We start from the raw sequence: 12463 nt of genomic DNA on the forward strand, positions 1-12463 counted from the left end.
GCATTATCATTGTTTACTATTTTTGATGGGATGTGGCCATTTTTGGCAAGAATCTGTTGAATTCTTCCAGATATAGGAAAAAATAGAATTATATATTAAATTGGATGGAAATAACTGAGAGCCTCAATAATCACAGACCTTCATCTAGAGCTGTTGTAAAATGTGGACTTGACTAGCAACACAAGCTTCAACTGGGAACTTGTTAGAAATGCAGATAGTCAGGCCCTCCGCAGCCATGCTGAATCAGGTGCAGCCCAGCAGTCTGATTCAACAAGCCCTCCAAGTGATTCTGATACATACTAACATATGAGAACCCTGATGAAGGGAAAGAAATTGCAAACCTATGAGGGTTCTGTGGTTGTGGATTTAGGAAAACAGTTCTGGCTATGTGCCCCAAAGTGACCTGATTCCATTCTCTTGGGCCAGCTCTACATATCAATAAATGATTCGGCTCAGAAAGTATTAAATATGCATTACTAATGAAATAGCGAGACGTTAAATAATCAGGAGCCGAGGCGAAAGGTGTGACTGGGATGGATGCAGGGCAGAGTTTAATAGAAAAGAATAATAGGAAAATTTGGTAGAATCTACGGGGTCAAGGGAAGCTGATCTGAAGAGAATTAGATCAGTGGCAAGCATCTGAAATATTTAAACTAAAAATTAACAGGCACAATATATTTGTAGTTCTCTGCCATATACACAGTAATAAAGTATAAATCAATTATTGTTACTCTGGAAAAGGAAGCTTTAAAAAAATCACAATTTTCTAACAATATTAGAGTGTCAAGAATAATACATACTGAAATATCCATAAATGCAGGATCCTTCAGTGCACCAGGGGAAAAATAGTTCTTAAAAGATTGTAGATGAGTATAGTTACTAGAAGATTCAACTACTGATGCACCTGTAAATTTGAGTCTGTGATATCTGCGTTTTAAAATCTCTCTCAAGTTCTTGAAATCTGAGTTTGTCACACACTGCTTTCAATAAGGCATCTAGTTATATCTGTCTATCTCCACCCACAAGGCATGACATTTTAAAGAAACATTTCTTAAAATAGAAAAAAGAAAGCCAGTTTTATGAAAGATGATGTAACGTCTCTTGGTTTTCCTAACAGAATGTTTTGCATTTCAACAAGGTCTAAGAAATCAGTGACTATTATTGTGTACAAGCAATGATTTCAGATAAACTATGTAAACCAAATATTTTAAAGTTTTTATATTTGGTTTGAATCAGGTTAGTGGGGGAGAGAGCGAGGGGGAAGAAAATAAGGGCATATACACAGTGTTTTGAACATATTCACTGAGTTTTAGAAGGTGATACGCTGTCTATCTTAATTAAACAGGCATCATAACCATTTTTGCACGTGGCCCAGTGTGAACAACCTAGGAGAGCCATTTGTTCAATTAGTGGAGATACAGACTCGGGTCTGTTCTATGCAGGTTGAGGCATGGTCACTACTGTTTGCCTATTTCTAATCACTGAAAAGAACTTAAAGCACTGACTATGGCTGTGAGACTACAAAGAACGAAGTTAAAATTATGCCTTATATCTTGAGCACAATTTCCCCATTCTATAATTTTCCTTGGTGTTATATCTTGCATTTTTCTAAAAGGGGAAAAGAGAGTGAAAGAGCAAAAACCTAATTATTGAAACTCTGTCCTCAAACTCTTTTCTGAAACTTGCTCTAAGGATGAGGGGTATTTTTCTGGCCTCATGAAAGGATGCCCTTTCTTCCTTGGCCAACATGAATGAGAATTTTCCTCTTTCTTGTAAAGAAGAGAGACTTCTTATGAATGAGGCTTTTTAGGGAGGGGGAAGGGGGTTGTCTAAAATCTTGTGTTTATACATCAAAAAATCCAGTTTAACTTAAATAATTTATTACTTTGAGTTTCACTTCACTGCATTAATTGTATTAATTTTATACACGACTAGACAATAAGGCCAAAATTCAATGCCTTTATTCTTTAAATCTGTTTCTAGCATGTTGACTGGCACTAAGTGAATGAATAAACAGTTAAACAAATCAATGAATTCAATGATTCTTAAAATGACATTGTAGAGTTAGTGGGTGATGGAACTATTTTTTAATAACAATTGTGGCAGACTGGGAGAAATAGAAAATTACATTGTTTGGAGCTGGAATGAATATTGTAAATACTTGTTGAATGAATATGAATTGGATTCTATCCATTGTTTCACCAAAGAGGAAACAAAGCACAAAAGATATTGACTGATTTTTTTTTTTTTTGAAACGTAGTCTCGGGCTGTCACCCAGGCTGGAGTGCAGTGGTGCGATCTCTGCTCACTGCAAGCTCCGCCTCCTGGGTTCACGCCACTCTCCTGCCTCAGCCTCCCGAGCAGCTGGGACTACAGTTATCCGCCACCACGCCTGGCTAATTTTTTTGTATTTTTAGTAGAGACAGGGTTTCACCTTGTTAGCCAGGATGGTCTCGATTTCCTGACCTCGTGATCCGCCCGCCTCGGCCTCCCAAAGTGCTGGGATTACAGGCGTGAGCCACTGCACCCAGTCGACATTGACTGATTTTCTGATGGTTCTATGTCTAGTTAGTCAAAGAACTGGTACTAGAATACATTTTTGAAATACTCTTTTTATAGACAATTTCAAATATTTTTTAAAGTCCGGGAGATATTATAACAAACTCCATGTTTTCAGCAGCAGCATCAGACATTTTAAATTCATAGACAGTATTGTTTTATCAATATTCACCCATACACATTGCTGTCTCCAAATTATTTTTATGAAAATACCAATAAAGGTATAATTTTATTTGTAAGTATTTCAGTATGTATCTCTAAATGATAGAGGCAAAATATACATGGTACCATAAGGTATCACTATTACATTTTAATGTCACATCTTGATAATTTCTTAATGTCATTTAATATCCAGTCAATGTTCACATTTCCTTGGTTATCTTATACATTTTTTAACCGTTTAGTTGTTTGGACTGGGATTAAAATAAAGTCCATGCATTGTGATTGCTTATATCTCTTACCTATCTTTTAATCTATAAGTTCTGCCTTCTACACCCCTCTTTCTCTCTCTCTCTCTGTTTTTCAGTAGTTGTTGTTGTTCAGAAAACCAGGTGTATTAGTTAGAATTTTCCAGAGAAACTAAAACAATAGGAGATAGACAGATAGATAGATAGATATAAGAGGTGATTTATTATGGGAATTGGTCTGTGGAATTATGGAGGCCAAAAAGTCCCATGATATGCTGTCTGTGAGCTGCAGACCCAGAAAAGCATATGATACAATTGTTTAGTCTTGGTCTGAAGGTCTGAGGATGCTGAGAGGCATGGGGTTGCAGGTGGAGGGAAATGGTATAAATCCTGGAGTTAGAAGAAGGTCCGAGAACCAGGAGTTTCAATATCCCAGAGTAGGAGAAGATAGATGTCCCAGCTCATAGAGAGACAGAATTTGCCCTTTCTACCCAATTTTTCTTTAATTTGGGCCCTCAAGGGATTGGAGGATACTTGGCCACATGGGTGAGAGTAGATATTTTTAACTCAGATTACTGATTGAAATTCTAGTCTCTTCCAGAAACACCTACAGTGAAACAACCAGAAATAATGTTTTACCAACTGTCTTGACATCCCATAGCCCAGTTAAGATGACACATAAAGCTAACCATCACACCAGGTAGTTTGTTCTGTTTTCCCAAGTCTGGACTTTGCTTATTGTCTAGAATACAATTTTCTTTTTTTTTTTTTTTTTTTTTTAATTTTTTTTTTATTATACTCTAAGTTTTAGGGAACATGTGCACATTGTGCAGGTTAGTTACATATGTATACATGTGCCATGCTGGTGCGCTGCACCCACTAACGTGTCATCTAGCATTAGGTATATCTCCCAATGCTATCCCTCCCCCCTCCCCCGACCCCACCACAGTCCCCAGAGTGTGATATTCCCCTTCTTGTGTCCATGTGATCTCATTGTTCAATTCCCACCTATGAGTGAGAATATGCGGTGTTTGGTTTTTTGTTCTTGCGATAGTTTACTGAGAATGATGGTTTCCAATTTCATCCATGTCCCTACAAAGGACATGAACTCATCATTTTTTATGGCTGCATAGTATTCCATGGTGTATATGTGCCACATTTTCTTAATCCAGTCTATCATTGTTGGACATTTGGGTTGGTTCCAAGTCTTTGCTATTGTGAATAGTGCCGCAATAAACATACGTGTCCATGTGTCTTTATAGCAGCATGATTTATAGTCATTTGGGTATATACCCAGTAATGGGATGGCTGGGTCAAATGGTATTTCTAGTTCTAGATCTCTGAGGAATCGCCACACTGACTTCCACAATGGTTGAACTAGTTTACAGTCCCACCAACAGTGTAAAAGTGTTCCTATTTCTCCACATCCTCTCCAGCACCTGTTGTTTCCTGACTTTTTAATGATTGCCATTCTAACTGGTGTGAGATGATATCTCATAGTGGTTTTGATTTGCATTTCTCTGATGGCCAGTGATGATGAGCATTTCTTCATGTGTTTTTTGGCTGCATAAATGTCTTCTTTTGAGAAGTGTCTGTTCATGTCCTTCGCCCACTTTTTGATGGGGTTGTTTGTTTTTTTCTTGTAAATTTGTTTGAGTTCATTGTAGATTCTGGATATTAGCCCTTTGTCAGATGAGTAGGTTGCGAAAATTTTCTCCCATGTTGTAGGTTGCCTGTTCACTCTGATGGTAGTTTCTTTTGCTGGGCAGAAGCTCTTTAGTTTAATTAGATCCCATTTGTCAATTTTGGCTTTTGTTGCCATTGCTTTTGGTGTTTTGGACATGAAGTCCTTGCCCACGCCTATGTCCTGAATGGTATTGCCTAGGTTTTCTTCTAGGGTTTTTATGGTTTTAGGTCTAACGTTTAAATCTTTAATCCATCTTGAATTGATTTTTGTATAAGGTGTAAGGAAGGGATCCAGTTTCAGCTTTCTACATATGGCTAGCCAGTTTTCCCAGCACCATTTGTTAAATAGGGAATCCTTTCCCCATTGCTTGTTTTTCTCAGGTTTGTCAAAGATCAGATAGTTGTAGATATGCAGCATTATTTCTGAGGGCTCTGTTCTGTTCCATTGATCTAATCTCTGTTTTGGTACCAGTACCATGCTGTTTTGGTTACTGTAGCCTTGTAGTATAGTTTGAAGTCAGGTAGTGTGATGCCTCCAGCTTTGTTCTTTTGGCTTAGGATTGACTTGGTGATGCGGGCTCTTTTTTGGTTCCATATGAACTTTAAAGTAGTTTTTTCCAATTCTGTGAAGAAAGTCATTGGTAGCTTGATGGGGGTGGCATTGAATCTGTAAATTACCTTGGGCAGTATGGCCATTTTCACGATATTGATTCTTCCTACCCATGAGCATGGAATGTTCTTCCATTTGTTTGTGTCCTCTTTTATTTCCTTGAGCAGTGGTTTGTAGTTCTCCTTGAAGAGGTCCTTCACATCCCTTGTAAGTTGGATTCCTAGGTATTTTATTCTCTTTGAAGCAATTGTGAATGGGAGTTCACTCATGATTTGGCTCTCTGTTTGTCTGTTGTTGGTGTATAAGAATGCTTGTGATTTTTGTACATTGATTTTGTATCCTGAGACTTTGCTGAAGTTGCTTATCAGCTTAAGGAGATTTTGGGCTGAGACGATGGGGTTTTCTAGATAAACAATCATGTCGTCTGCAAACAGGGACAATTTGACTTCCTCTTTTCCTAATTGAATACCCTTTATTTCCTTCTCCTGCCTGATTGCCCTGGCCAGAACTTCCAACACTATGTTGAATAGGAGCGGTGAGAGAGGGCATCCCTGTCTTGTGCCAGTTTTCAAAGGGAATGCTTCCAGTTTTTGCCCATTCAGTATGATATTGGCTGTGGGTTTGTCATAGATAGCTCTTATTATTTTGAGATACGTCCCATCAATACCTAATTTATTGAGAGTTTTTAGCATGAAGGGTTGTTGAATTTTGTCAAAGGCTTTTTCTGCATCTATTGAGATAATCATGTGGTTTTTGTCTTTGGCTCTGTTTATATGCTGGATTACATTTATTGATTTGCGTATATTGAACCAGCCTTGCATCCCAGGGATGAAGCCCACTTGATCATGGTGGATAAGCTTTTTGATGTGCTGCTGGATTCGGTTTGCCAGTATTTTATTGAGGATTTTTGCATCAATGTTCATCAAGGATATTGGTCTAAAATTCTCTTTTTTGGTTGTGTCTCTGCCCGGCTTTGGTATCAGAATGATGCTGACCTCATAAAATGAGTTAGGGAGGATTCCCTCTTTTTCTATTGATTGGAATAGTTTCAGAAGGAATGGTACCAGTTCCTCCTTGTACCTCTGGTAGAATTCGGCTGTGAATCCATCTGGTCCTGGACTCTTTTTGGTTGGTAAACTATTGATTATTGCCACAATTTCAGAGCCTGTTATTGGTCTATTCAGAGATTCAACTTCTTCCTGGTTTAGTCTTGGGAGAGTGTATGTGTCGAGGAATGTATCCATTTCTTCTAGATTTTCTAGTTTATTTGCATAGAGGTGTTTGTAGTATTCTCTGATGGTAGTTTGTATTTCTGTGGGATCGGTGGTGATATCCCCTTTATCATTTTTTATTGTGTCTATTTGATTCTTCTCTCTTTTTTTCTTTATTAGTCTTGCTAGCGGTCTATCAATTTTGTTGATCCTTTCAAAAAACCAGCTCCTGGATTCATTGATTTTTTGAAGGGCTTTTTGTGTCTCTATTTCCTTCAGTTCTGCTCTGATTTTAGTTATTTCTTGCCTTCTGCTAGCTTTTGAATGTGTTTGCTCTTGCTTTTCTAGTTCTTTTAATTGTGATGTTAGGGTGACAATTTTGGATCTTTCCTGCTTTCTCTTGTAGGCATTTAGTGCTATAAATTTCCCTCTACACACTGCTTTGAATGCATCCCAGAGATTCTGGTATGTGGTGTCTTTGTTCTCGTTGGTTTCAAAGAACATCTTTATTTCTGCCTTCATTTCGTTATGTACCTAGTAGTCATTCAGGAGCAGGTTGTTCAGTTTCCATGTAGTTGAGCGGCTTTGAGTGAGATTCTTAATCCTGAGTTCTAGTTTGATTGCACTGTGGTCTGAGAGATAGTTTGTTATAATTTCTGTTCTTTTACATTTGCTGAGGAGAGCTTTACTTCCAACTATGTGGTCAATTTTGGAATAGGTGTGGTGTGGTGCTGAAAAAAATGTATATTCTGTTGATTTGGGGTGGAGAGTTCTGTAGATGTCTATTAGGTCTGCTTGGTGCAGAGCTGAGTTCAATTCCTGGGTATCCTTGTTGACTTTCTGTCTCGTTGATCTGTCTAATGTTGACAGTGGGGTGTTAAAGTCTCCCATTATTAATGTGTGGGAGTCTAAGTCTCTTTGTAGGTCACTCAGGACTTGCTTTATGAATCTGGGTGCTCCTGTATTGGGTGCATATATATTTAGGATAGTTAGCTCCTCTTGTTGAATTGATCCCTTTACCATTATGTAATGGCCTTCTTTGTCTCTTTTGATCTTTGTTGGTTTAAAGTCTGTTTTATCAGAGACTAGGATTTCAACCCCTGCCTTTTTTTGTTTTCCATTTGCTTGGTAGATCTTCCTCCATCCTTTTATTTTGAGCCTATGTGTGTCTCTGCACGTGAGATGGGTTTCCTGAATACAGCACACTGATGGGTCTTGACTCTTTATCCAACTTGCCAGTCTGTGTCTTTTAATTGCAGAATTTAGTCCATTTATATTTAAAGTTAATATTGTTATGTGTGAATTTGATCCTGTCATTATGATGTTAGCTGGTGATTTTGCTCATTAGTTGATGCAGTTTCTTCCTAGTCTCGATGGTCTTTACATTTTGGCATGATTTTGCAGCGGCTGGTACCGGTTGTTCCTTTCCATGTTTAGCGCTTCCTTCAGGAGCTCTTTTAGGGCAGGCCTGGTGGTGACAAAATCTCTCAGCATTTGCTTGTCTATAAAGTATTTTATTTCTCCTTCACTTATGAAGCTTAGTTTGGCTGGATATGAAATTCTGGGTTGAAAATTCTTTTCTTTAAGAATGTTGAATATTGGCCCCCACTCTCTTCTGGCTTGTAGGGTTTCTGCCGAGAGATCCGCTGTTAGTCTGATGGGCTTTCCTTTGAGGGTAACCCGACCTTTCTCTCTGGCTGCCCTTAACATTTTTTCCTTCATTTCAACTTTGGTGAATCTGACAATTATGTGTCTTGGAGTTGCTCTTCTCGAGGAGTATCTTTGTGGCGTTCTCTGTATTTCCTGAATCTGAACGTTGGCCTGCCTTGCTAGATTGGGGAAGTTCTCCTGGATAATATCCTGCAGAGTGTTTTCCAACTTGGTTCCATTCTCCCCATCACTTTCAGGTACACCAATCAGACGTAGATTTGGTCTTTTCACATAGTCCCGTATTTCTTGGAGGCTTTGCTCATTTCTTTTTATTCTTTTTTCTCTAAACTTCCCTTCTCGCTTCATTTCATTCATTTCATCTTCCATTGCTGATACCCTTTCTTCCAGTTGATCGCATCGGCTCCTGAGGCTTCTGCATTCTTCACGTAGTTCTCGAGCCTTGGTTTTGAGCTCCATCAGCTCCTTTAAGCACTTCTCTGTATTGGTTATTCTAGTTATACATTCTTCTAAATTTTTTTCAAAGTTTTCAACTTCTTTGCCTTTGGTTTGAATGTCCTCCCGTAGCTCAGAGTAATTTGATCGTCTGAAGCCTTCTTCTCTCAGCTCGTCAAAATCATTCTCCATCCAGCTTTGTTCTGTTGCTGGTGAGGAACTGCGTTCCTTTGGAGGAGGAGAGGTGCTCTGCGTTTTAGAGTTTCCAGTTTTTCTGTTCTGTTTTTTCCCCATCTTTGTGGTTTTATCTACTTTTGGTCTTTGATGATGGTGATGTACAGATGGGTTTTCGGTGTAGATGTCCTTTCTGGTTGTTAGTTTTCCTTCTAACAGACAGGACCCTCAGCTGCAGGTCTGTTGGAATACCCTGCCGTGTGAGGTGTCAGTGTGCCCCTGCTGGGGGGTGCCTCCCAGTTAGGCTGCTCGGGGGTCAGGGGTCAGGGACCCACTTGAGGAGGCAGTCTGCCCGTTCTCAGATCTCCAGCTGCGTGCTGGGAGAACCACTGCTCTCTTCAAAGCTGTCAGACAGGGACACTTAAGTCTGCAGAGGTTACTGCTGTCTTTTTGTTTGTCTGTGCCCTGCCCCCAGAGGTGGAGCCTACAGAGGCAGGCAGGCCTCCTTGAGCTGTGGTGGGCTCCACCCAGTTCGAGCTTCCCGGCTGCTTTGTTTACGTAAGCAAGCCTGGGCAATGGCGGGCGCCCCTCCCCCAGCCTCGTTGCCGCCTTGCAGTTTGATCTCAGACTGCTGTGCTAGCAATCAGCGAGATTCCGTGGGCGTAGGACCCTCTGAGCCAGGTGTGGGATATCGTCTCGTGGTGCGCCATTTCTTAAGCCGGTCTGAAAAGCGCAATATTCGGGTGGGAGTGACCCAATTTTCCAGGTGCTTCCGTCACCTCTTTCTTTGACTCGGAAAGGGAACTCCCTGACCCCTTGCGCTTCCCAGGTGAGGCAATGCCTCGCCCTGCTTCCGCTCGCGCACGGTGCGCACACACACTGGCCTGCGCCCACTGTCTGGCACTCCCTAGTGAGATGAACCCAGTACCTCAGATGGAAATGCAGAAATCACCCGTCTTCTGCGTCGCTCACGCTGGGAGCTGTAGACCGGAGCTGTTCCTATTCGGCCATCTTGGCTCCTCCCTAGAATACAATTTTCTAACATAAAAATTGTCATGTAGACCTATTTTGTTTTTTAAAAATTTGAATGAATGATACAGATATATTGAAAAATACTTCCATAATGTATGTATTTTAAATTTTGAAAACTTGTGCACATCATATTTACTTTTTATTGGAAAAAAATTAGAAAAACCTTCCAAAGTAACATCTCAAGAAAGTTTTCCACAGGATTCGTTAAATGACCTTATTAAATTTCTAAAGTGTTTGTTTTTCTTCATTATCTTTGATACTTGGATTAAAACCAATTTTTAATTAATGCAGAAAAATACAAATCAGAACTGTGACAGGAACTTTCATAATGCTTAAGTGTTTCTTTACTGATTAGAGCAAATCCAAAGCAGTTATATTAATTTTTATAATTGTTCAGTTTTTTAATTAACCATTTAGAATATAAACCAAATTGATATTTTTAAAAAACCCAGACACCTAAGATCTTATATAATCAAACTCTAACTACTACTTGCTGGTGACATTTCTGGATCCACAAGCATCATTATTTGACCGCTCTGATTTATGTAACTGGTCTAACTTCAGATTTTATCTCTGTAGGCCTCTGGGAATACTTTTAGAGATTCACAGTGAAAAATCAGAGTCAACTCATGAATTTCTACTTTATTGCATAAAAACAAGGGGACTATAAAATGTGTTCAAAGGGTATAGGATGGAAATATACAGAAATATAGATCACACATAACCTGAATCAGTTGATTCATCTAAATTATAGTAATATCTAAACAATTGATGTTACATTGACGATCCCTTTATTTTTATTTTTATTTTTTTGAGACAAAGTCTTGCTCTCATGCCCAGGCTGGAGTGCAGTGGCGCGATCTTGGCTCCCTGCAACCTCTGCCTCCCAGGTAGGAGTGAGTCTCCTGCCTCAGTTTCCCAAGTGGCTGCGATTACAGGCACCTGCCACCAAGCCCGGCTAATTTTTGTATTTTTTTTTTTTTTCAGTAGAGACAGGGGTTTTACCATGTTGGCCAGGCTGTACTCCGACTCCTGACCTCAAATGATCCACCTGCCTTGGCCTCCCAAAGTGCTGGGATTACAGGCATGAGCCACTGCACCCAACCTGAAGATCCATTTAAAAAGTTATCTCCTTCATTAGAGATTTCCATTCTCCTCTTGCTCTTTTGTTGACCTGAGTTTCCTCTGGGCACTTTAATTTCTGCAGTTGTGAAAACAGCTGCATCTTAAACAGAGCCACCAGAGAACTACAGAGGAAGCTACATTTGATTTCTTTTCATGAGACACTTAAGAGGGAAAGCTGGGTGAAGAGTATATGAGGACTCTGAACTATATTTGCAAATATTCTGTAAATCTAAAACTATTCAAAAAGAAAATTAGGAAACTTGGGTTTTATTACCTCTAAGTAGCCAAAGGCTCTAGGTGGCTGATTAAAGCATCGAAGCTTTAAAAATTACTATAGCAATTTTGAATTTGTTACGTTCCTTTCTGACAATAAATTATTACTTAATTCTTTTCTAGTGAGTCTGGATTCTTAGTCTTACCCTGTCTACAGTCTTAAACATATGGCAATTCCATTTTCCATAAGACATCCAGAGGCATCTTACTAAATAGCAAAACTTTTTGGACTTCCTTTCAAATATAAAAGATATAACAGACAAAGTTCTCTTCCTTCCTCCTTCTCTTCTCTCATCCTGCAGGCTCCCACAGAACATGGATGACTGCCATCACACTGTTTATGATGAGTATTGCACTTGACTGGTCATTTGTCATCCTTATAATGTGGTAAATGTTATGGACATAGGGGCCACTTGTCACTGTTTTCCCATCATCTACTATAGCATCCTACGTATAAGGAGAAAACAGTGAATGATGATGGTTGTTGAATGCAAAACTTATGATATCATAATTATTGGAATTTACTGAAGAATGTAGGGTTGTATTACACAAAATCCTGTGCTTTTTAAACCAGTGAGTTTTCATGTTTTAGTTCTGTACACTGTTCTGTTTGATTGCCATTTGTCCCTTCTTGATCTTCTGTACCTGACTGTGTATATGCCTGTTGTAGCTATATCTTCTTCTGATTTGATGATTTTCATATAATTTTTGCTTTCTTCTCAAAAGAATATGAGACTATTCTATTTGTGGCTAGAATTGTTTGATTCTAACTACATTAACTAATTCTATTAAAGAGCTGATTAATTAAATGCGGTTTAATTTTGTAATACTATTGGTTTGGTATATCTTCCTTGAATTCTTATTTTCAATCCAATCACCCATTGTTTTTATATTATTTAATAATAGCTTCATAATAAAGCAATAATTACTTTTCTAGAGCAAACTGCTATCATATACTATAAGCATGAACTTATTAAAATAAGCTTAACCATGTCTATTTTAATGTTAAAAGCAAAACAAAACCAACAAAAACTTTAATAAGTAACAAAGATAAGTAAAAAAGTTTCACCAGAAACCTCTAGTCTTGCTTATGGAAAGATTAATACATCGAATTATGTTCTATCAAATAATCAGAATATTTGTGTAATAAGAATTAGAATGATTTTTTTTCTAGAAATCATAATGGCCAATTTTTAAAAAGTGAAACCATGTGAGTGCTGAATATTTTTTTCCTAGCTTATAGATGAGGAAACTGTACATGAGAAACTAAATATTTGTATTCA

General features: G+C 38.6%; 1 long non-coding RNA gene across 1 annotated transcript in view, besides 2 other annotated features; it reads left to right on the top strand.

Moving 5' to 3' along the window:
* Positions 1-12463, top strand: part of LOC124904475 (uncharacterized) — a 765263-nt gene that overhangs the window by 259834 nt on the left and 492966 nt on the right. The gene's annotated exons all lie outside the window — the stretch shown is intronic.
* Positions 8820-9428: an enhancer, noted in NCBI's record as "OCT4-NANOG-H3K27ac-H3K4me1 hESC enhancer chr1:193692068-193692676 (GRCh37/hg19 assembly coordinates)". NCBI's record gives its function as "activates a minimal SCP1, AML or CMV promoter by ChIP-STARR-seq in naive and primed H9 embryonic stem cells {active_cell/tissue: H9 hESC(naive and primed)}" and the evidence as "EXISTENCE:reporter gene assay evidence [ECO:0000049][PMID:30033119]".
* Positions 9429-10035: an enhancer, noted in NCBI's record as "OCT4-NANOG-H3K27ac-H3K4me1 hESC enhancer chr1:193692677-193693283 (GRCh37/hg19 assembly coordinates)". NCBI's record gives its function as "activates a minimal SCP1, AML or CMV promoter by ChIP-STARR-seq in naive H9 embryonic stem cells {active_cell/tissue: H9 hESC(naive)}" and the evidence as "EXISTENCE:reporter gene assay evidence [ECO:0000049][PMID:30033119]".

This window comes from Homo sapiens, chromosome 1 (genome assembly GCF_000001405.40).
Source record: "Homo sapiens chromosome 1, GRCh38.p14 Primary Assembly".
Classification (NCBI taxonomy): Eukaryota; Metazoa; Chordata; class Mammalia; order Primates; family Hominidae; genus Homo; species Homo sapiens.